At 52.5% G+C, this 21,639-nt stretch overlaps 3 protein-coding genes across 10 annotated transcripts, besides 7 other annotated features; all 3 read left to right on the forward strand.

The window, feature by feature from the left end:
- Positions 8,764-8,953: a silencer, noted in NCBI's record as "silent region_8126". NCBI's record gives its function as "represses an Ori minimal core promoter by ATAC-STARR-seq in GM12878 lymphoblastoid cells {active_cell/tissue: GM12878}" and the evidence as "EXISTENCE:reporter gene assay evidence [ECO:0000049][PMID:35858748]".
- TNFSF12 (TNF superfamily member 12) lies at positions 8,869-17,692 on the forward strand. 2 transcript variants are annotated; one of them, NR_037146.2, is made up of 8 exons: positions 8,869-9,123; positions 9,285-9,332; positions 9,931-10,006; positions 10,610-10,663; positions 10,754-10,789; positions 13,398-13,636; positions 16,589-16,713; positions 16,910-17,692. NR_037146.2 is itself a non-coding variant. In NM_003809.3 (7 exons), exons 1-7 carry the CDS (start codon positions 8,965-8,967, stop codon positions 17,159-17,161), a joined length of 750 nt encoding a protein of 249 aa, NP_003800.1. In that variant the 5' UTR covers positions 8,869-8,964; the 3' UTR covers positions 17,162-17,692. The 2 variants fall into 2 exon arrangements, 1 of the variants encoding a protein (NP_003800.1); NM_003809.3 differs by lacking the exon at positions 13,398-13,636.
- On the forward strand, positions 8,869-21,412 carry TNFSF12-TNFSF13 (TNFSF12-TNFSF13 readthrough). Its single transcript, NM_172089.4, has 11 exons — positions 8,869-9,123; positions 9,285-9,332; positions 9,931-10,006; positions 10,610-10,663; positions 10,754-10,789; positions 16,589-16,713; positions 19,435-19,513; positions 19,657-19,704; positions 19,860-19,978; positions 20,161-20,299; positions 20,535-21,412. The coding sequence occupies exons 1-11, from the start codon at positions 8,965-8,967 to the stop codon at positions 20,642-20,644; spliced, it is 993 nt and encodes a 330-aa protein (NP_742086.1). The 5' UTR covers positions 8,869-8,964; the 3' UTR covers positions 20,645-21,412.
- Positions 8,984-9,063: a silencer, noted in NCBI's record as "silent region_8127". NCBI's record gives its function as "represses an Ori minimal core promoter by ATAC-STARR-seq in GM12878 lymphoblastoid cells {active_cell/tissue: GM12878}" and the evidence as "EXISTENCE:reporter gene assay evidence [ECO:0000049][PMID:35858748]".
- Positions 14,702-15,202: an enhancer, noted in NCBI's record as "H3K4me1 hESC enhancer chr17:7458208-7458708 (GRCh37/hg19 assembly coordinates)". NCBI's record gives its function as "activates a minimal SCP1, AML or CMV promoter by ChIP-STARR-seq in primed H9 embryonic stem cells {active_cell/tissue: H9 hESC(primed)}" and the evidence as "EXISTENCE:reporter gene assay evidence [ECO:0000049][PMID:30033119]".
- Positions 17,311-18,104: an enhancer, noted in NCBI's record as "H3K27ac-H3K4me1 hESC enhancer chr17:7460817-7461610 (GRCh37/hg19 assembly coordinates)". NCBI's record gives its function as "activates a minimal SCP1, AML or CMV promoter by ChIP-STARR-seq in primed H9 embryonic stem cells {active_cell/tissue: H9 hESC(primed)}" and the evidence as "EXISTENCE:reporter gene assay evidence [ECO:0000049][PMID:30033119]".
- Positions 17,690-17,749: an enhancer, noted in NCBI's record as "active region_11626". NCBI's record gives its function as "activates an Ori minimal core promoter by ATAC-STARR-seq in GM12878 lymphoblastoid cells {active_cell/tissue: GM12878}" and the evidence as "EXISTENCE:reporter gene assay evidence [ECO:0000049][PMID:35858748]".
- Positions 18,093-21,412, forward strand: TNFSF13 (TNF superfamily member 13). Of its 7 annotated transcripts, NM_172088.4 has the most exons (7): positions 18,561-19,108; positions 19,435-19,513; positions 19,657-19,704; positions 19,860-19,978; positions 20,161-20,299; positions 20,535-20,628; positions 20,810-21,412. In NM_172088.4, exons 1-7 carry the CDS (start codon positions 18,851-18,853, stop codon positions 20,814-20,816), a joined length of 744 nt encoding a protein of 247 aa, NP_742085.1. In that variant the 5' UTR covers positions 18,561-18,850; the 3' UTR covers positions 20,817-21,412. The 7 variants fall into 7 exon arrangements, 6 of the variants coding, with proteins under 6 accessions (NP_001185553.1, NP_742085.1, NP_003799.1 ...); NM_001198624.2 differs by lacking the exon at positions 19,435-19,513 and adding an exon at positions 18,093-18,186 and having other exon boundaries at positions 18,879-19,108; positions 19,662-19,704; positions 20,535-21,412; NM_003808.4 differs by having other exon boundaries at positions 20,535-21,412.
- Positions 18,560-18,609: an enhancer, noted in NCBI's record as "active region_11627". NCBI's record gives its function as "activates an Ori minimal core promoter by ATAC-STARR-seq in GM12878 lymphoblastoid cells {active_cell/tissue: GM12878}" and the evidence as "EXISTENCE:reporter gene assay evidence [ECO:0000049][PMID:35858748]".
- Positions 20,984-21,233: an enhancer, noted in NCBI's record as "active region_11628". NCBI's record gives its function as "activates an Ori minimal core promoter by ATAC-STARR-seq in GM12878 lymphoblastoid cells {active_cell/tissue: GM12878}" and the evidence as "EXISTENCE:reporter gene assay evidence [ECO:0000049][PMID:35858748]".

The raw sequence follows: 21,639 nt of genomic DNA on the forward strand, positions 1-21,639 counted from the left end.
TGGCTCGATCTCAGCTCACTGCAACCTCTGCCTCCCAGGTTCCAGCGATGCTCCTACCTCAGCCGCCCGAATAGCTGGGATTACAGGCATGCGCAACCATGCCCGGCTAATTTTTGTATATTTAGTAGAGGCGGGTTTTCTCCATGTTGGTCAGGTTGGTCTCGAACTCCCAACCTCAGGTGATCCACCCACCTTGGCCTCCCAAAGTGCTGGGATTACAGGTGTGAGCCACCGCGCCTAGCCTCTCCCTTTCTTCCTTCCTTCCTTTCTCTCTCTCTTTCTTTCCTTCCTTCCTTCCTTTTTTTCTTTCTTTCTTTTTTTTTTTTTTTTGACAAAGTCTTGCTCTGTTGCCCAGACTAAAGTGCAGTCATGAGATCACAGGATCTTCCCACCTCAGCTTGCTAAGTAGCTGGGACTACAGGGACAGGCCACTGCATCTGGCTAATTTTTAAATTGTTTGTAGAGACACGATCTGGTTATGTTGCCTGGATAGCTGGTCTCGAACTCCTGGGCTTTAAGCAATCTTCCTGCCTCGGTCTCCCAAAGTGTTTTTGTTTGTTTGTTTGTTTGTTTGGGTTTTTTTTTTTGAGACGGAGCCTCACTCTGTCGCCCAGACTGGAGTGCAGTGGCGCAATCTCGGCTCACTGCAAGCTCCACCTCCCGGGTTCACGCCATTCTCCTGCCTCAGCCTCCCGAGTAGCTGGAACTACAGGCGCCCGCCACCACGCCCGGCTAATTTTTGTATTTTTAGTAGAGACGGGGTTTCACTGTGTTAGCCAGGATGGTCTTGGTCTCCTGACCTTGTGATCCACCCGCCTCGGCCTCCCAAGGTGCTGGGATTACAGGAGTGAGCCGCCACACCCACCCCCAACATGTTGTGATTATAGGCCTGAGTTACCGTGCTCGGCCTTGGATTTCTTTTTAGCCCATTTTTCCATGTGAGACCCAGAGAGCTGGGGGGCCCACTCAAGGCCTTGCCAAAAGCCAGAAGCCAGTGCAGACCAGAACCCAGATACCCCATTTCCCACCCATCACTGGCCAAAGGGTTAATGGCTGTTGGCAGACACAATGTTTTTGTTTTTTATTGATTTGTGTGTTTACATTTGACTTCCCAAAAGTGTCTGAGGCAACTGCCACTGAGGTATCAGGACTTGTGTTTGCTTTTACCGCACTCCCTCCTGCTGGTAGGGAACCCAGACAGTCCGAGCCATCACAGCCAAACTAGAACGGAGTCAAGCTGCAGCCCAGGGCCAAGGCCGAGGGAGGCACCAAGAGCCAGGGGCCAAACCAGATCGATCACATTTGCCATCAGGCCAAGCACCATGTCACCACCACAGCCAGGTGTGAGCTACAGGCCCAAGAGCCAGGCCAAGCAGAGAGTGTCCAGGGCACACGCCCCACCAATCCCCAGAATACAGCGCCTTCTGATACTCAGCCCCAGCTCTGGGCTGAATCTTACCTGGAGGCAGATATCTAATGGATGGAGAGGCAGGGCGCGGTGGCTCATGCCTGTAATCCCAGCACTTTGGGAGGCTGAGGCAGGTGGATCATCTGAAGTCAGGAGTTTGAGACCAACCTGGCCAACATGGCGAAACCCCGTCTCTACTAAAAATAGAAAAATTAGCTGGGCGTAGTGGCACATGCCTGTAATCCCAGCCACTTGGGAGGCTGAGGCACGAGAATCGCTTAAATGTGGGAGGTGGAAGTTGCAGTGAGCCGAGATCGCTCTGTCATCCAGCCTGGGTGACAGAGCAAGACTCCATCTCCAAAAAACAAACAAACAAACAAAAAGAAATGGAGAGCTGAGGATAAAGGTAGGAAACTTGTGACCCAGGAAACTGGAATAGCCAGAGAAGGTACAAAGGCGGAGGAGCTGATGAAAGTCAGGCTCAGGCCGCTTGCGGTGGCTCATGCTTATAATCCCAGCACTTTGGGAGGCCGAGGCGGGGGGATCACTTGAGATCAGGAGTTCGAGACCAGCCTGACCAACATGGTGAAACCCCGTCTCTATTAAAAATACAAAATACAAAATTAGCCAGGCATGGTGGTGCATGCCTGTAATCCCAGCTACATGGGAGGCTGAGGCAGGAGAATCACTTGAACCCGGGAGGTGGAGTTTGCAGTGAATGGCGATCACAACACTGCACTCCAGCCTGAGCAACAAGAGTGAAACTCTGTCTCAAAAAAAAAAAAAAAAAAAAAACCAAAACCAAGAGCAAAACTTCGTCTCAAAAAAAAAAAAAAAAAAAAACAGGTCAGGCTCAGGATTGCCCACCCAGCCTTGCAACCCCACCAAGCCCTGCACTGTTATCAGGCTGGGTCCTCTCTTCCTTCGTCCAGAGGGGAATGGAACAGGTATGGAGACAGGATGTCATTTTGGAGACCCAGGTTTGAATTCTGGTGCTTCCATATCTTGGCTTTGGCATTTGAGCAAAATCATTCACTCTTCTATGCAACAAATATTTATTGAGCAACTACTATGGTAAGGCATTAGCCAGGTTCTAGGGAACAAAGATGAGTAAACCACGGTCCCCCCCTCATGACATGAGAGTAGGAGAGTCAGATGAGCCCAGATGGTAACATGATGAGATAGTGGTGTGGCTGGGGCAAAAACAGGCATCTGTGGAGCTCAGAGGGAGCCCCTATCCAGGGAGAGAAGGCCCAGGTAGAGTCTCCTGGGGAATTCCCTTGGACCACCCATTCATTCAACAAATACATAAAGTGCCTACTGTGTGTCAGGCACTAAGCAAGACACCAGAGAAACAATGGTCTACAAGACAGACTTGGCCCCTGAACCAGTAGAACTTCACGGTTGAGTGAGGGAGGAAGACCAGAAGTGCGAGTTGTGAGAAATGCAATGATGGAAACACAGCATTGTCATCGAGACTAACACAGGGGATACATATATGGGACAGGGGACGTGAGGCAGAATGTTGTGATGTTGGACCAAAATTAGAGTGTCCTTGTGAACTTATGCAATATGTATCTATCCTATCTTTGTCTGCTAAAAGTCCTCACTTCCAGGAATGCTGAGTTTACCCGGTGCCCAGATCTTAGTTGCTAAATATCCTTCTCCGTGAAAGGGCACCGTTCCCTGAAGAAATGGCTTCTGATCTCAGGGCTGGTGCTGAGGAAGTACAAGGTGCAGCTGGAACATCTTATTATGAAAGAAAGGAATGGAAGGATGGAAGGAACAGAGGGAGGCAGGGAAGGAGGGGAAGGAAGGATTATAGCATTTCTATATGAAGTCTATTTGTGATACCAAGCTTGGTAATATAATGAATGAACCAGCTTAAATATAGCACATTTATGTTCTTAAAATAACCAGTGAAGGAAACTAGAAGGCAGAATGGTAAGAGGCCAAGGAAGGAGGACTTCAGAATGAGAGTGGGAAACAATCGTAGAGGCTGCAAATAAGTAAGATGAGGGCCAAGGTGTATCTGCTGGATTTAGTACGAGAGAGACCTGTGGTGATGACCAACCACGTGGAGCCCATGTTCACTGGGGAAGTGGGGAGAAGAGGACAGGAGGGTCATCAGTGAAGAGAAGGTAGGTAAAGTCTGGGGAAGAGCCCAGGATGATGGCACACGCCTGTAAACCCAGCTACTTGGGAGGCTGAGACAGGAGGATCCCTTGATCCCAGGAATTTGAGACCAGCCTAGGCAACATAACAGGACCCTGTCTCACATAAATAAATAACTAAACAAACAAACAAACAGATAAATACAGACAGACATACATCTAGGGAAGACGGAGGTGGCAGGTAGAAGTGGAAAGAGAAAGAAGCCCAGGACAGGGATTTGAGTTGTTTGATTGACTGATTAAAGCTTAAATAAAGCTTAAGAATTTTGACCAAAAGTGAGTGTGGTGGTGGCTTGGGGGTGGCATTTAGTCCTCTCTTGGGTCTGTTAGCAACTCATCCTGGTTTTTCCAGAACTGTCCTGGTTTTAGCATTGAAAGTACCTCATCCTGGGAACCTCCTTAGTCCCGGCAAACTGGGATGGTCACTGTCCACTCTCAGGCTGCTACTATCACCATATTCAGTAGTCACTGCCAGACTGGGAAGGCTAGGCCATATTTATTCATTCAACAAACTTTTGCTGACCCTGGAAATACAATGCCTGCAAAGCATACACAGTCCCTACCCTTACAGACTACGTGAAATTCTTTATTTGCATTTAAGTGATTTTTTTTTGAGACGGAGTTTCACTCTTGTCACCCAGGCTAAAGTGCAATTGCACGATCTCAGATCACTGCGACCTCTGCCTCCTGGGATCAGGCGATTCTCCTGCCTCAGCCTCCCAAGTAGCTGGGATCTCGGCTCACTGCAACCTCCGCCTCTTGGGTTCAAGCTATTCTCCTGCCTCAGTCTCCTGAGTAAGGGGGATTACAGACATGCGTCACCACACCCGGATAATTTTTGTATTTTTAGTAGAGACGGGGTTTCACCATGTTGGCCAGGCTGGTCTCAAACTCCTGACCTCAAGTGATCTGCACGCTTCAGCCTCCCAAAATGCTGGGATTACAGGCGTGACCACCAGGCATGGCCTTGCATTTAAGTGATACTAATCAAGCTGGATATCCAAAAAGAAAAACAAAAAAGAAAATGACAAAGCCTTTTTTTCCTTTAGTATCTTGGTTGAAAATGTGAAAAGTAAGAAAAGTGTAAAAAGGCAGGAATAAAAAATATTAGCAGATTTCCTTTCAGTATTTTTCCTGCATGTTTCCCAAGTTACTTCCTATCAGTGTCCTAAAAAATGCAAGTTAATTTTAACTTTGGCCGCAAACCAAGAACAAAAAGGTTAAGTGTATTGAATTAATTTTTCAAGCCAAAGTTAAAGGATCTGAGGATGATCTGCTGTCTCCAAGGCTCCAGTCCCTGTTTTTTTCCTTTAGCAGGTGTGATCACACGCTGGCTGAGATGAGTAATGACTTTCCCTCTCCTCAGCACGCTTGCTGCTGTACAATTTTTTTCTTTTTACAAATTAAAATGCTGCATTCACCTGATAATAAAAATCAAGTAGAGGCTGGGTGCAGTGGCTCACGCCTGTAATCCCAGCACTTTGGGAAGCTGAGGCGGGTGAATCACCTGAGGTTGGGAGTTCGACACCAGCCTGACCAACATGGTGAAACCCCGTCTCTTCCAAAAATACAAAAATTAGCCTGGCATGGTGGTGGGTGCCTGTAATCCCAGCTACTCAGGAGGCTGAGACAGGAGAATCGCTTGAACCCGGGAGGCAGAGGTTGCAGTGGGCTGAGATCACACCATTGCGCTCCAGCCTGAGTGATGAGAGTGAAACTCCATCTTAAAAAAAAATAGGCCGGGCGCGGTGGCTTATGCCTGTAATCCCAGCACTTTGGGAGGCCAGGGCGGGTGGATCACGAGATCAAGAGTTTGAGACCAGCCTGGCCAACATGGTGAAACCCTGTCTCTACTAAAAATGCAAAAATTAGCCAGGCATGGTGGTGCACGCCTGTAATCCCAGCTACTTAGGAGGCTGAGGCAGGAGAATCACTTGAACCTGGGAGGGAGAGGTTGCAGTGAGCCAAGATTGTGCCACTGTACTCCAGCCTGGGTGACAGAGCGAGACTCCGTCTCAAAAAAAAAAAAAAAAAAAAAAAAAAAAGTGAAAATTGTGGGCATTTGCAGTCTTTGCTGCCATTAAGTCTTCTGGATTTTTCTACAGGTTGACTCTAAAAGTTGAAATCCAGTCAAAGATATTTACATTATTATGGCCACATGAACGTTGTTTACCCTCAGGCCAAACAATGGGCTGGAATTACACTTGCTTCTCCACACACTCCATCCCATAATCCATGTGTCACTCAAAGGACAATGTGGCAAGCAAGCACTAAGGCCCTAAATTGATACTGTATCAATTAAATACAATTATGTTGTGTTATAGCTTGTGTTTCATTTATTTTATTTTATTTTTTATTTTTATTTTTCTGAGAGATGAACTCTCACTCTGTCGCCCAGGCTGGAGTGCAGTGGCACAATCTCGCCTCACTGCGACCTCTGCCTCCCAGGTTCAAGTGATTCTCCTGCCTCAGCCTCTCGAGTAGCTGGGATTACAGGCGTGCGCCACCATGCCCGGCTAATTTTTGTATTTTTAGTAGAGACAGGGTTTCACCATGTTGGCCAGGCTGGTCTCAAACTCTTGATCTCGTGATCCACCTGCCTTGGCCTCCCAAAGTGCTGGGATTACAGGCATGAGCCACTGCGCCCGGCCTATTTATTTTATTTCAAGCAGTTCTCCTGCCTCAGCTTCCCAAGTAGCTGGAACTTCAGGCGTGCACCACCATGCCCAGCTAATTTTTGTATTTTTTAGTAGAGATGGTGTTTCACTACATGTTGGCCAGGCTGGTCTCGAACTCCTGACCTCAGGTGATCCACCCACCTTGGCCTCCCAAAGTGCTGGGATTACAGGCATGAGCCACTGTGCCCGGCCTATTTATTTTATTTTTTATAGAGACAGGGTCTCACTCTGCTGCCGAGGCTTCGGTTCAATGGGGTGATCATAGCTCACTGCAACCTCAAACTCCTGGGATCAAGTGATCCTCCTGACTTAGCCTCCACAGTAGCTGGGACTACAGGAGCATGCCATCGCACCTGGATAATTTTTCTTGTATTTTTTGTAGAGATGGAAAGGGGTTCTCACTATTTTGCCCAGGCTGGTCTTGAACTCCTGGCCTCAAGAGATCCTCTCGTCTCAACCTCTCAAAGCTCTAGGGTTACAGGCGTGAGCCATGATGCCCTGCCCGTATTTATTTATTTTTATTTTATTATTTATTTATTATCTTTTTTTTTTTTTGAGACAGGGTCTTCCTCTGCAGCCCAAGCTGGAGTTCAGTGCCCAGATCATAGCTCATGGCAACCTGGAATTCCTGGGCTCAAGCGATCCTCCTGCCTCAGTTTCCCCAGTAGCTGGGACTACAGGTGCACACCATGATGCCCAGCCTGTTTTGTTGCTTTTTTTTTTTTTTTTTTTTTTTTTTTTGAGATGGAGTCTTGCTCTGTCGCCCAGGCTGGAGTGCAGTCATGCGATCTCGGCTCATTGCAACCTCCACCTCCCGGGTTCAAGCAATTCTCTGCCTCAGCCTCCCGAGTAGCTGAGATTACAGGTGCCCGCCACCGTGCCCAGCTAATTTTTGTTTTTTTAGTAGAGACAGGGTTTCACCATCTTGGCCAGGCTAGTCTTGAACTCCTGACCTTGTGATCCACCGACCTTGGCCTCCCAAAGTGCTGGGATTACAGGCGTGAGCCACCACAACTGGCCCCAGCTGTTTCTTATTTACATTGTGATTTCAGTTTTGAAAATTTTCTGGAGATTCTAACTGCTTTTCTTTCTTTGCATACTCTTTTTTTTTTTTTTTTTTTTGACAGGGTCTTACTCTGTTGCTCGTGTTGGAATGCAGTGGTGTGATCACAGCTCACTGCAGCCTCAACCTCCCAGGCTCAGGTGATCCTCCCATCTCAACCTCCTGAGTAGCTGGGACTACAGGCATGCACCACCATGCCCAGCTCTATGGATGCTTTTTCTTGACTCTCTTTAAGTATATTAGGTAGTACTCTTTGTATCCTGAATTATCTCTGTTTCCTCCAATGTCAAATTTTGTTTGTTAATTTTGGTCTTTCTTTCTTTTTTTTTTTTTTTGAGATAGGGTCTTGCTGTGTTGCCCAGGCTGGAGTGTGGTGGCGTGATCTCAGCTCTCTGCAACCTCTGTCTCCTGGGTTCAAGCAATTCTCTGCCTCAGCTTCCCGAGTAGCTGGGAACTACAGGCGCCTGCCACCACGTCCGGCTAATTTTTTTGTATTTTTATTAGAGACAGGGTTTCACCATCTTGGCCAGGCAGGTCTCGATCTCCTGACCTCGTGATCCACCCGCCTCAGCCTCCCAAAGTGCTGCGATTACAGGCGTGAACCATCGCGCCCAGCCAATTTTGGTCCTTCCTTCCTTCCTTCCTTCCTTCCTTCCTTCCTTCCTTCCTTCCCTCCTTCCCTCCCTCCCTCCCTCCCTCCTTTCTTTCTTTCTTCCTTTCTTTCTTTCTTTTTGAGACAAGGTCTGTTGCCCAGGCTGGAGTGTAGTGGTGCAATCACAGCTCACTGCAGCCTCAAACTCCTGGGCTCAAACAATCCTCCTACCTCGGCCTCCTGAGTAGCTGGGACTACAGGCGTGGGCTAATTTTTTAAAACTTTTCTGTAGAGATGGGGTCTTGCTCTTGCCCAGGCTGATCTTGAACTCCTGGCCCCCAGCCTTGGCCTTCTGGGATTACAGGCGTAAGCCACCTGCCGGACCAATTTTGGTGTTTCTTTTGCATGCTGCTGGTCCTCCTCAGATGCTTGGCAATCATTGGTAATGATGGGCTTCAGAACGTGCTACCGGCACAGTGAGTGTTTTAAGCTGAAGGAATTTGAGAAAACCGCAGAAGCCGAAGGATCTTTCTTACCTTCTCCTGCCCTTCTTCCCTGAACCAGGTCATACAACCTGGAACTCCCTGCCCTTTTCCTGAAGAAGCAAATAACAGCCTCCTGCGAGAGGCGCCCTCCCTGCACCTGGGGGAAAGGAGGGTCCTTATCTCTGAAGACACAGGGACACAGAAGAATCTGAACCAACAGGCCTTCCTGAGTTCCCCACCTCCCCGCAGGAGGTGCCCGCACACGCATAGCCCCGTCGCTCCCGCGGCCGCACGCAACGGACCTCGCCCTGGTGGTGCACGCCCGGGCTGGGCGCTCAGAGGTCGGGTGGGCGCCCACTCCGTTCGCTGCGCGCACAGCGCCCGGCGAGAGGCTCGGAGTTTGATCACACACAGCGTCCGGCTTCCTGTCCCCAGCGCCCCCTCCCGCCCCGTTTCCCTTGCCCCTCCCTCTCCCCGGCCCGATCCGCCCGCCGGCTCCCCCTCCCCCGATCCCTCGGGTCCCGGGATGGGGGGGCGGTGAGGCAGGCACAGCCCCCCGCCCCCATGGCCGCCCGTCGGAGCCAGAGGCGGAGGGGGCGCCGGGGGGAGCCGGGCACCGCCCTGCTGGTCCCGCTCGCGCTGGGCCTGGGCCTGGCGCTGGCCTGCCTCGGCCTCCTGCTGGCCGTGGTCAGTTTGGGGAGCCGGGCATCGCTGTCCGCCCAGGTGAGGCCCCGCTGCGCACCCCTTCTTGGGCACATCAGGAGCTGAGACTGCAGAGGGGCCGCTGGGGGCCGCGTGGGCTGAAGGCAAGGGGAAGGGAGGATGGGTGGAGGGTGAGATGTCAGGTGGAGCGGCACAGGGTGACGCTCCCTCCTTCCCAGCAGGAGCCTGCCCAGGAGGAGCTGGTGGCAGAGGAGGACCAGGACCCGTCGGTGAGTGGGCGTGGGCGCGGTCTGCAGGCTGCTGGGGCATGGGAAGTGTGCACAGCCGAGGCTGCAGGTGTGTGCAGCTGTGCCAGCCGTACTCGAGGTGTGTGCAGGGTGTGTGTGAACACAGTGCGTGCATGGGTGCGTGTCTGCAGGGGTGTGTGTGCGTGGTGACAACTCTGTGTGAGGGGTTTGTGCTGGGGTTGTGCCACCTGAGTCTGAGGTGTTTATTGGCTGGGGGTGACGTGGTTGTATAAGATATGTGAGTCTGCGTGGAAGAGGGGTGCGGTTGTGTACAGGGTGTGTATCCTCTGTGCGTGGTGACTGGGTGCGGGCATGTGTGCAATGTGCCAATTGAATGCAGGGTCTGCGTTGGTTGTGTGTGTGGGTGGGAAAGTGTAGCTGGTCTAGAGGAAAGGGTGAGGACTGGGGCCTGACTCCCAGCTTCACCTTTGCCCGGGGCCCCAGCTGTAGTTGGCTGAGGGGCTTAATCTGTCCCTGACTTCTGTGTCTATTGCTGGCTGGTGGCTCTCCTGACAGGCCCCGTATGTCTCACTTTATATCTCTGGGAGTCTGTGGTTGAACCCTGCCCTAATTCCCCTAGGAACTGAATCCCCAGACAGAAGAAAGCCAGGATCCTGCGCCTTTCCTGAACCGACTAGTTCGGCCTCGCAGAAGTGGTGAGCATCCCTCTATCCCAACCTCAGGAAGCGGGCAGAGCAAAAACCATTATCCACAGGGAGAAACTGAGGCACGGAGGGTGAAAGGAGTTCAGAGTCATGCAGCTAACCAGCCAAGACTCAAACCTAGGGATTCTCGCCCTCCTCTGAAGCTCCTTCTGTCATATGGATGTGCTCCTTCAGACCCTACCCCAAACAGGAAGGCAGGGTGGCCATGAGTTAGAAGAACTACTGGGATCCTGATGGAGACTAGGCCTGGCAGTCAGAGGCCTGGGCCCCGGTAGGCAAAGAGACTTAGGAATGGGATGATGGGGTGGCCGGATGACCACGTGTCCAAGTCGGCATGCAGTTGTCCTGGCCCCCACCTGTTATCTCGGTGTGATTAATAGCAGCTTCCCGTTTTGCTCTCAGCAGTATCCCAGTGTGGATGACAAATTATAGTCACTCTACTTACTGAGGAAGATGAGGCCTGAGATTCTAAGGCCAGGAGTCTGGACAAGAATAAGGATGCCAGGGTTCCTGAGAGGGGAATGGGGCTGGGAGAGTTGCTCTGGGACCCCCACTAGGGCCCGCTTTGCTCATCTGTCTTTCCTTGATCCTCAGCACCTAAAGGCCGGAAAACACGGGCTCGAAGAGCGATCGCAGCCCATTATGAAGGTGGGTGATGGGTGAGCCATACCCAGGAGGAGAGGGGCAGGTGGCAGAGGGTCAGGGCAGGTCTCACCAGCCTTTTCCTGTACTTTACAGTTCATCCACGACCTGGACAGGACGGAGCGCAGGCAGGTGAGACCCCATCCCCCGACACAGCACTGGCCTCCTGGGAAAAGGGCCCTTGAAAACCTTTGACCTCCCACTCCCTTCCCGGCCATCAGTCTCAGAACCACAGAAGCCAGTTCATGAAGGTCTTGGTTCTCTCTGTGACCCAGGCGTGGGACCCCATGAAAGACCCCTACTCTTCCCCAGAACTCTGCCCAGTTCCCCCAGCAAATCACTGTCCCAGCTCTCTCCTTCAGCCCTCATTCTTCTCCAAGAAGCACTTTTCATTCTTTTTTCTTCTGTCTCCTCCATATTCCACGTTCTGATGATCTTTTTCTCTAAATGCTGCTAGTGTCTGCTCATCTTTTCCATTTCTACCCCACCCTCTACCTCAGCACCGTGACCTCAGAACCTCAAATCCAGCCTCTTGCTGCTTCCCCACTCCACACCCTCCCTACCCCTCCACTCCATCTGACCTGTGCTGCCATGCTGAGCCCCTAAACTTCACTTTTCTTGTGGTATTGGCTCTCTACATGGCTTCCAGTCTCTTCGTGGTCTGGTCTCAACCTAATTTCCCTGCACTCTTATGCTGTCTTCATGTTTGCTGCGCTGACACCCCTGCTCCCGGTGTGCCTCTTCTGGACTTTGCACATACCATCCCCCTCACCAGAATGTCTTTCCACTGTGAGAGGCAGGGAGGCATGAGGAGTGCTCAGCCGAGGGGTTCACAGCAGAGATGGTGAGAAGTGGATGGGTTCAGCCTGTGTCCTGAAGATATTACTGACTTATGGGTTGGAGGTGAAGAATAAAAGAAAGGGAGGAATCACAGATGACTTCTAGATTTTTTATTTTTTTTAAGACAGTCTCGCTCTGTCACCCAGGCTGGAGTGCAGTGGTGCAATCTCGGCTTACTGCAACCTCTGCCTCCCAGGTTCAAGAGATTCCCGTCTCAGCCTTCCAAGTAGCTGGGATTACAGGCGTGTGCCACCACGCCTGGCTAATTTTTGTATTTTTAGTAGAGATGGGGTTTTGCCATGTTTTCCAGGCTGGTCTCAAACTCTTGACCTCCAGTGATCTGCCCGCCTCGGCCTACCAAAGTGCTGGGATTACAGGCATGAGCCACTGCACCCAGCCAGCTTCTAGATTTTTAACTTGGGTATCTCTGGGAAGAATGATGCCATTTCCTAAGAAGGGATTGACCAAGGAATAAATAGGTTGGGAAGTATGTAAGATAATTATTAACGTTGAGAAGTCTAAAATAAACAAGCGGATAAATGACAATAAAGTAAATTCCAGAAATGGATGGCTGGACATTGTCGACTAGCTTAGGCTAGGTCAGGACGGATAAAGCCAGGAGTCATGGCCATATGGATGGCTTTTTTTTTTTTTTTTTTGAGACAGAGTCTCGCTCTGTCACCCAGGCTGGAGTGCAGTGGTTCGATCTTGGCTCACTGCAACATCTGCCTCCTGGGTCCAAGCGATTCTCCTGTCTCAGCCTCCCAAGTAGCTGAGATTATAGGCGGGTGCCACCACACCCAGCTCATTTTTGTATTTTTTAGTAGAGACAGGGTTTCACCGTGTTGGCCAGGCTGGTCTTGAACTCCTGATCTCAGGTGATCCGCCAGCCTCAGCCTCCCAAAGTGCTGGGATTACAGGTGTGAGCCCTTGTGCCCGGCCTATCGATGGCATTTAAAGCCACAGGATTGGGTGAGACGCCAGGAGAAAGAAGGGCCCCACGAATGAAGCCCTGAGACTCTTGGGCATCTTGAAGTGGAGCTGAGGGGAAAACCAGCAGAGACTGAAAAGAAGCTGGAGAGAGAGGAAGAAACCCAGGGAGGGTGGCATCCTGGATTCGGAGAAACCACTGTTTCAAGGAGGATGTGGCTGTCTGTGTTGAATGCAGCTGAGAGATCACATGAAATGAGAACAGAGAAATGATGGCTGGGTTTGGTAACGTGAAAGTCCTGCTGACCTTAAAGAGGGTGGTTTCAGTGGCATAGTTAGAACAGGAAGGCAGTGTGCATTGGGTTGAGAAGAAAATGAGAAATAAGGAACTGGAGGCAGGGACAACCTTTTTTTTTTTTTTTTTTTTTTTTTTTTTTTTTTTTTTTGTGACAGAGTTTCACTCTTGTCACCCAGGCTGGATCCAGTGCAATGGCACGATCTCGGCTGACCGTAACCTCCACCTCCCGGGTTCAAGCAATTCTCCTGCCTCAGCCTCCCCAGTAGCTGAGATTACAGGCATGCGCCACCACGCCTGGCTAATTTTGTATTTTTAGTAGAGACAGGGTTTCTCCATGTTGGTCAGGCTGGTCTCAAACTCCCGACCTCAGGTGTTCCACCCGCTTCGGCCTCCCAAAGTGCTGGGATTACAAGCATGAGCCACTGCACCCGGCCTAGGACAACCCTTTTTAGAAGTTTCTCTGTAACAAGGAGCAGAGAAATAGGCCAGTAGGTGGAGGGGTGTGTGGACCAAGGAAAAGTTTAGTTCTGTGAACAATACTATTTTCATCTGATCTAACATGTACTGAGGGCTTTCTTGAGATAGGCACTGTGTCTGGCACTTGTGTTTGGTCTTATCTAATCCTCACAACAGCCCTAAAAGGAAGATACTCTAATTACCTCCATTTTACAGATGGAGGTTACACAACTTGTCTGAGGCCATGAGATACTAAGTGGTGGAGCCAAGATTTGAACCCAGCTAGAATGTGCCTGTGTACTGGACATGGTCTGCATGAAAGGCGAGGTGGCTGGTGCAGGGGTGAGGGGTCCATGCAGGGGCCACATCCAAAAAGGGGAGAGGGAAGTTTCCAGAAAGAAGAGAGGACACATCTCCCACCATTACCAGAGGGTCAAAGGAGAACAAGAGACCAGGTGGGTTTGTAGATTTGCTGGGGGGAGATGAGGGAACCTTTGCTCGATGACTTCTAGGTCCTCTGGACAACTAGGGAGATGGAGACAGGAGATTTGAGGAGAAATGGTACAAAATCTCAACTTGCTGATTATGAAAGCAAGCTTCGTGGGGGAATGTAAGATTGCCAGGCAGGACGGAATGTCCAGGTGAGGTTTGTGGCTGGAGACAAGTGATATACCAGGCAAGCCCTCCGTGCTCCTGGGCACACCATGCCCTTAGGCTACAAGCAGCCTTTGCTTAGGCTGGCTTCGTAGCTAGGAATGCCCTCTCTTCTCTGCCCTCCCTACTCTTCATGCCCAGATCAGCCTTCCTCCCCTCTGTATAGACCACTTATTTTGGCAATTATCCAGACATTCATTCATTCATTGACTCAACAGGCATTGAAGACCTACTGTTTGCTAGGGGCCAGGCTAGGTGCCCACAGCAACTAATATCCAGACTCTTTTTTTTTTTTTTTTTTTTTTTTGAGATGGAGTCTCACTCTGTCGCCCAGGCTGGAGTGTAGTGGCGCGATCTCGGCTTACTGCAAGCTCCGCCTCCTGGGTTCATGCCATTCTCCTGCCTCAGCCTCCCAAGTAGCTGGGACTACAGGCGCCCGCCACCACGCCTGGCTAATTTTTTTTTATTTTTTAGTAGAGACGGGGTTTCACCGTGTTAGCCAGGATGGTCTCGATCTCCTGACCTCGTGATCCACCCAACTCGGCCTCCCAAAGTGCTGGGATTACAGGCGTGAGCCACCGCGCCCAGCCGGTCAGACCCATTTTTTTTTTTGAGATGGAGTTTTGCTCTTGTTGCCCCAGCTGGAGTGCAGTGGCGCCATCTCGGCTCACTGCAGCCTTCTCGGGTTCAAGTGATTCTCCTGCCTCAGTCTCCCGAGTAGCTGGGACTACAGGCGCCTGCCACCACGCCTGGCTAATTTTTTTTTTATGTTTTAGTAGAGACGGGGTTTCACCGTGTTAGCCAGGAGCGTCTCGATCTCCTGACCTCGTGATCCACCCACCTTGGCCTCCCAAGGTGCTGGGATTACAGGCGTGAGCCACTGTGCCCAGCCTCAGACCAACTCTTAAGGAGTCACTGTCTAGGAGAGGAAACAAGCATATAAATTTGTAATTACAGGAACATACAAAAAAAATTAGCCAGGTTTGGTGGCACATGCCTGTAATCCCAGCTACTCAGGAGGCTGAAGCATGAGAATCACTTGAACCCGGGAGGCGGAGGCTGCAGTGAGCCGAGATTGTGCCACTGCACTCCAGCCTGGGTGACAAGAGTGAGACTCCATCTCAAAAAAAAATTTGTAATTACAGTGGAATATGACAAGAACAATAATAAAAGTGGCCAAGATACCTGGCAACACAGGGGAAGACAGACATGGCTGTGGAGTCAGGGATTCTCTCCCTGCATCGCAAGGTGCCGCTGGGCCTTGAAGCAGGAGCGTAAGACAAGACAGGCAAGGGGTCAAGAATGGTGGGTGCAAGCAGAAGCAGCCCCTGGGGCAAAAGCCCCGGGTTTGCCCAGAGCATGATGAGGCTGGGGGACTCTAAGTTCAGCGTGGCAGAAGCAGAAAGTGCTAGAGGAGCGAGATGGGGATGAGGCTGGAGACAGAAGCCAGGCCACACGGTGGCATGTGGGAACTATTCTGAGGTGAGCCATCGGAAGGAGGAAGGCGAGGCGAGGCGGGCTTACGTCTGCATCTTAGAGACTCATTCTGTGGCTTTGTGTAGGGAATAAACTGGAGGAAGCCAGAATGGAAACAGGGAATGCTGTGAAAACCAGACAGAGGCACCAGATGGGGGAGAGAGGGGAGAGAGCTATTTAGGAGGCAGGATAGATAGGAACTGGTGATCGATTAATGATGTAGGTAAAGGAGAGGGAGGCTTGAATATCCCCCTGGTGGCAAAACCAGAAGCCAAATGTGGAAAACAGACAGTAAAGCAAGAGTGGGATGAGGGGGGTCAGCTCAGTGTTGGTTGAGATGAGTTTGAGGGGCTATTGCTGTTCAGATGGTGCAGTTGGCAGGGTAAGGAAGGGAAGGAAACTTCAGGGCTGGAGACTCTGCAGAGCACAGGTTGTGGGAACCCATTGGTGGAAATAAAAATGCCCAGTGAGCGTTTTTTTTGTTTTTTTTTTTTTTTGGAGACAGAGTCTAGCTCTGTTGCCCAGGCTGGAGTGCAGTGGCATGATCTTGGTTCACTGCAACCTCCCCATCCCAGGTTCAAGTAATTCTCCTGCCTCAGCCTCCCATGTAGCTAGGATTACAGGTGCCTGCCACCATGCCCTGCTAGTTTTTGTATTTTTAGTAGAGACGGGGTTTCACCTTGTTGGCCAGGCTGGTCTCGAACTCCCGACCTCAGGTGATCCGCCCACCTTGGCCTCTCAAAATGCCGGGATGACAGGCGTGAGCCACTGCACCTGGCTGAGCATGATGTTTTCAAGGCACATCTGTGCCATAGTGTGTATCAGTACTTCACTCTTTTTATGGCCAAATAATATTCCATTATATGGATAGACATTTTGTTGATGGACAATTGGGTTTCATTTTATTATTTTTAGTTGTACTAATTCAGATAATGTATGTTTACATCCTCCATATAAAAGAAGCAAATAATATAGATATCCATGAAGTAAAACATTAAATCCCCTCACGCTTCTCCTTCAGTTCTACTCTTCTCCCCAGAAGTGACTGCAGGTGACAATCTGCCCTGAATGTCTCTGGCCATATACATTAGATTTTTTCACATAACTTCCTAGTCAACTATGGGCATCATAGGGGATGGGTCCTCCCTTGCCCGGGGTGATCTATGTGTCTTCTGGGTAAAGTGGGCGCCGAATGTTCATATGCTCAATGGATCCCTGGGGAGTGTGGGGGAGTCCTGTAGAGAGACGTTTCCTTATCTCTGAGCATCCGTGTTCAGGTGTGGACGGGACAGTGAGTGGCTGGGAGGAAGCCAGAATCAACAGCTCCAGCCCTCTGCGCTACAACCGCCAGATCGGGGAGTTTATAGTCACCCGGGCTGGGCTCTACTACCTGTACTGTCAGGTAAGCCCCATCTGGCTGCATGGGTAACGCAGTAAGAGAGTGGCGAAGGGTTTGCCAGGAGAGTGGGGGACAAGCTACAGGGCTGGGAGGGTGAGTTGGGGTTTGGGTGGGATGGGATGCCTGCGTCGCTGAGGAAATTGGAAATTGAGGCGAGGGCAGGCAGAGGCCTGGACTCGGCCTGTTGTCCCCACCCCAGGTGCACTTTGATGAGGGGAAGGCTGTCTACCTGAAGCTGGACTTGCTGGTGGATGGTGTGCTGGCCCTGCGCTGCCTGGAGGAATTCTCAGCCACTGCGGCGAGTTCCCTCGGGCCCCAGCTCCGCCTCTGCCAGGTGTCTGGGCTGTTGGCCCTGCGGCCAGGGTCCTCCCTGCGGATCCGCACCCTCCCCTGGGCCCATCTCAAGGCTGCCCCCTTCCTCACCTACTTCGGACTCTTCCAGGTTCACTGAGGGGCCCTGGTCTCCCCGCAGTCGTCCCAGGCTGCCGGCTCCCCTCGACAGCTCTCTGGGCACCCGGTCCCCTCTGCCCCACCCTCAGCCGCTCTTTGCTCCAGACCTGCCCCTCCCTCTAGAGGCTGCCTGGGCCTGTTCACGTGTTTTCCATCCCACATAAATACAGTATTCCCACTCTTATCTTACAACTCCCCCACCGCCCACTCTCCACCTCACTAGCTCCCCAATCCCTGACCCTTTGAGGCCCCCAGTGATCTCGACTCCCCCCTGGCCACAGACCCCCAGGGCATTGTGTTCACTGTACTCTGTGGGCAAGGATGGGTCCAGAAGACCCCACTTCAGGCACTAAGAGGGGCTGGACCTGGCGGCAGGAAGCCAAAGAGACTGGGCCTAGGCCAGGAGTTCCCAAATGTGAGGGGCGAGAAACAAGACAAGCTCCTCCCTTGAGAATTCCCTGTGGATTTTTAAAACAGATATTATTTTTATTATTATTGTGACAAAATGTTGATAAATGGATATTAAATAGAATAAGTCATAGTCTCTCTCTTTATTGGGGCTCAGGGGACACTCTCAGGGTAGCTGGGGGCCACGTGAAGGGGGGCGTTGCGGAGCGGCACAGCTGGAACTCCGGGATGATGTTCAGGCTTGGGGGCGGGGACCTCCATGCCTCCAGCCCCCAGGTGGGAGCAGAGGTAGGAAGGCACACTGCCCAGGAAAAAAATCAATCCTCCGCCCAAGGTACAGCAGAAGCGGCCTCCTTGGCCTAGGAGGCAGACTTCCTCCTGCGGGGAAATCCCTTCCTGGCTGGGAGGAGCAGGGGCCCTTCCTCTTGGTGGCCTCGGACATTCAGCAGGTGCTGGCACAGGCCCTGGCTGGGAGGTGGGGCGGGCAGGAGCCAGCCTGGAGGAGGGGCTGAGAGTCAGCAGGCACACGGGAACCCGGAACCCTGTGTGCTGGGGAGGAATCCCGCAGTGGCCGGGGGGCTTGAGGCCGCTGCTTTGTCTCTTCGTCCAGAGCCTTATGTAAGAGCTTTTCTCGGGAAACAGGAAGTCCTGCTTGCCAATTTCAGCACAGGGAGTAGTGCAGGCCTTATTCCAACACACCCGGCCCAGCCTTAACCCCAGAACTCAGCCAGTTTCTTGCTTCCGTGCCCCTGGTTCTCCTCCCCATCGAGCCCACCCCTCCTTTCCCACCTTCAGTCACCCCTAGTGAACTGCCCCAGCGATCTCTGCTGTGCTTGACCCCGAGGGTCTTCCACCCTCGCCCTGACCCTGGACACTGCCCAGCTTGGCCCCCCATCCTGCTCCTGGCACAATGCCCTCTAGCCAGCCAACCTTCCCTCCCCCAACCCTGGGGCCGCCCCAGGGTTCCTGCGCACTGCCTGTTCCTCCTGGGTGTCACTGGCAGCCCTGTCCTTCCTAGAGGGACTGGAACCTAATTCTCCTGAGGCTGAGGGAGGGTGGAGGGTCTCAAGGCAACGCTGGCCCCACGACGGAGTGCCAGGAGCACTAACAGTACCCTTAGCTTGCTTTCCTCCTCCCTCCTTTTTATTTTCAAGTTCCTTTTTATTTCTCCTTGCGTAACAACCTTCTTCCCTTCTGCACCACTGCCCGTACCCTTACCCGCCCCGCCACCTCCTTGCTACCCCACTCTTGAAACCACAGCTGTTGGCAGGGTCCCCAGCTCATGCCAGCCTCATCTCCTTTCTTGCTAGCCCCCAAAGGGCCTCCAGGCAACATGGGGGGCCCAGTCAGAGAGCCGGCACTCTCAGTTGCCCTCTGGTTGAGTTGGGGGGCAGCTCTGGGGGCCGTGGCTTGTGCCATGGCTCTGCTGACCCAACAAACAGAGCTGCAGAGCCTCAGGAGAGAGGTGAGCCGGCTGCAGGGGACAGGAGGCCCCTCCCAGAATGGGGAAGGGTATCCCTGGCAGAGTCTCCCGGAGCAGGTGAGTGAGGGGAGGAGGGTGTCTGGGAGAGGATGGTTAGCATGGGGGGTCTCTGGGCCTCCTGGTCTGCAAAGTTTCAAGGGGGTGCAAGAGAGGGTCTCCGGTTTGGAAGTCAGGGGCGCGGCCATTCCAGGAAAGGAAACTGTTAAAGGTTAATGCTTCTCATACCTAACAAATCCTGGAGGGCAGCCAGCACCAACACTCAGGGTGCTGGGAAAAGGTGCGTGAGAGATCTGAGGCATCTCGGGGGCAGGGGAGGGCTGGGAAGGCAGGCTGGCTGGGACCCTCGCATCTTAACCTAACCTTGACCCTCTTTCCATGAGCAGAGTTCCGATGCCCTGGAAGCCTGGGAGAATGGGGAGAGATCCCGGAAAAGGAGAGCAGTGCTCACCCAAAAACAGAAGAGTGAGGCTTCCAGGGTGCAGCAGGGGTGGGAGGTGATCAAGCAGCGTGGGGATTGTAAGCCCGAGTCAGGGTGAGGGTGGAGGCTGCCAACAGCACAACGGGGGAAAGTGGATGCGGCTGAGATTCCCTCCTTCTCTCCTCAGAGCAGCACTCTGTCCTGCACCTGGTTCCCATTAACGCCACCTCCAAGGGTGAGCACTATTTTAAATAATGGCTTTGGGGAGGGGCAATAACCAGGAACTCGGGCTGGCACTTGGGCTCAAGGGGTCCTTATAGGTGAAAGGGAAAGAACCAAAAAGCACCTGAGAGTGCCAAGAAGTCCTGACCGACACACTCTCACCTCCAGATGACTCCGATGTGACAGAGGTGATGTGGCAACCAGCTCTTAGGCGTGGGAGAGGCCTACAGGCCCAAGGATATGGTGTCCGAATCCAGGATGCTGGAGTTTATCTGCTGTATAGCCAGGTAACCCCAGCCACACTCTGAGCTTCACAGAGGGCCTCTTTGGCCCCCTACTGAGGGTTCCTGACCCCTCTATTCATACCAAACCCAGCAGACCCTTCTTTCTTCCCTCGTTAGCGCTCCTGAGGCCTCCCAGAACTGAGCCAGGCCATCCTGTTTTCTTCAACATCTCCCTTCCCTGCCAGGTCCTGTTTCAAGACGTGACTTTCACCATGGGTCAGGTGGTGTCTCGAGAAGGCCAAGGAAGGCAGGAGACTCTATTCCGATGTATAAGAAGTATGCCCTCCCACCCGGACCGGGCCTACAACAGCTGCTATAGCGCAGGTGAGAGCCGTGTGGGCAGCCGAAAGCAGGACGTCTCTGACCGGGGGTAGCAGTGCAGGGAGCTACCGCTAGGAGGGAGGTTGGAAACCTAAACAGAGGCGGGTCTGAGGAGTGAAGTGCAGAATGCCGGGTCCTTACAGGAGGCAGAGGAACGGTGGAGCTGGAGAAGGCAGGGGGAAACAGGGCATCTGGATGGCTGTGCTTCACTGCGAATCTACTTTCTCTCTTTTCTCAGGTGTCTTCCATTTACACCAAGGGGATATTCTGAGTGTCATAATTCCCCGGGCAAGGGCGAAACTTAACCTCTCTCCACATGGAACCTTCCTGGGGTTTGTGAAACTGTGATTGTGTTATAAAAAGTGGCTCCCAGCTTGGAAGACCAGGGTGGGTACATACTGGAGACAGCCAAGAGCTGAGTATATAAAGGAGAGGGAATGTGCAGGAACAGAGGCGTCTTCCTGGGTTTGGCTCCCCGTTCCTCACTTTTCCCTTTTCATTCCCACCCCCTAGACTTTGATTTTACGGATATCTTGCTTCTGTTCCCCATGGAGCTCCGAATTCTTGCGTGTGTGTAGATGAGGGGCGGGGGACGGGCGCCAGGCATTGTCCAGACCTGGTCGGGGCCCACTGGAAGCATCCAGAACAGCACCACCATCTAGCGGCCGCTCGAGGGAAGCACCCGCCGGTTGGCCGAAGTCCACGAAGCCGCCCTCTGCTAGGGAAAACCCCTGGTTCTCCATGCCACACCTCTCTCCAGGTGCCCTCTGCCTCTTCACCCCACAAGAAGCCTTATCCTACGTCCTTCTCTCCATCTATCGGACCCCAGTTTCCATCACTATCTCCAGAGATGTAGCTATTATGCGCCCGTCTACAGGGGGTGCCCGACGATGACGGTGCCTTCGCAGTCAAATTACTCTTCGGGTCCCAAGGTTTGGCTTTCACGCGCTCCATTGCCCCGGCGTGGCAGGCCATTCCAAGCCCTTCCGGGCTGGAACTGGTGTCGGAGGAGCCTCGGGTGTATCGTACGCCCTGGTGTTGGTGTTGCCTCACTCCTCTGAGCTCTTCTTTCTGATCAAGCCCTGCTTAAAGTTAAATAAAATAGAATGAATGATACCCCGGCTCCATTTCCCCCACTGCCTCGCCTCAGCCCGGTCCTCGTACGGGGATCTCCCGCCCTCCTGGCTCTCCTGTGGCGCGCCCCCCGCCGGATCAAGGTACTGGGGATGCCGCTAGGGTCAGGCCCGCGAGCGCGGAGAAGACAGAGCGCGGCGCAAAAGGGAAAGTGGCGGGGCCGCCACGCGCGGCCGGGCGGCGGATGTGCGCAGGCGCAGCCTCGCGTA

Source organism: Homo sapiens, chromosome 17, assembly GCF_000001405.40.
Source record: "Homo sapiens chromosome 17, GRCh38.p14 Primary Assembly".
NCBI lineage: Eukaryota > Metazoa > Chordata > Mammalia > Primates > Hominidae > Homo > Homo sapiens.

What these genes read in the sequence shown, in the direction of transcription:
- TNFSF12 (NM_003809.3), top strand. Translation starts at nt 8,965, where the DNA reads ATGGCCGCCCGTCGGAGCCAGAGGCGGAGGGGGCGCCGGGGGGAGCCG. An exon ending in GGGCATCGCTGTCCGCCCAG is followed by an intron (nt 9,124 to 9,284) that starts GTGAGGCCCCGC and finishes CCTTCCCAGCAG; the next exon opens with GAGCCTGCCCAGGAGGAGCT. An exon ending in AGGAGGACCAGGACCCGTCG is followed by an intron (nt 9,333 to 9,930) that starts GTGAGTGGGCGT and finishes TAATTCCCCTAG; the next exon opens with GAACTGAATCCCCAGACAGA.
- TNFSF13 (NM_003808.4), top strand. Translation starts at nt 18,851, where the DNA reads ATGCCAGCCTCATCTCCTTTCTTGCTAGCCCCCAAAGGGCCTCCAGGC. An exon ending in GGCAGAGTCTCCCGGAGCAG is followed by an intron (nt 19,109 to 19,434) that starts GTGAGTGAGGGG and finishes TTCCATGAGCAG; the next exon opens with AGTTCCGATGCCCTGGAAGC. An exon ending in TTTATCTGCTGTATAGCCAG is followed by an intron (nt 19,979 to 20,160) that starts GTAACCCCAGCC and finishes CTTCCCTGCCAG; the next exon opens with GTCCTGTTTCAAGACGTGAC.
- TNFSF12-TNFSF13 (NM_172089.4), top strand. Translation starts at nt 8,965, where the DNA reads ATGGCCGCCCGTCGGAGCCAGAGGCGGAGGGGGCGCCGGGGGGAGCCG. An exon ending in GCTCACCCAAAAACAGAAGA is followed by an intron (nt 19,514 to 19,656) that starts GTGAGGCTTCCA and finishes TTCTCTCCTCAG; the next exon opens with AGCAGCACTCTGTCCTGCAC. An exon ending in CATTAACGCCACCTCCAAGG is followed by an intron (nt 19,705 to 19,859) that starts GTGAGCACTATT and finishes TCTCACCTCCAG; the next exon opens with ATGACTCCGATGTGACAGAG.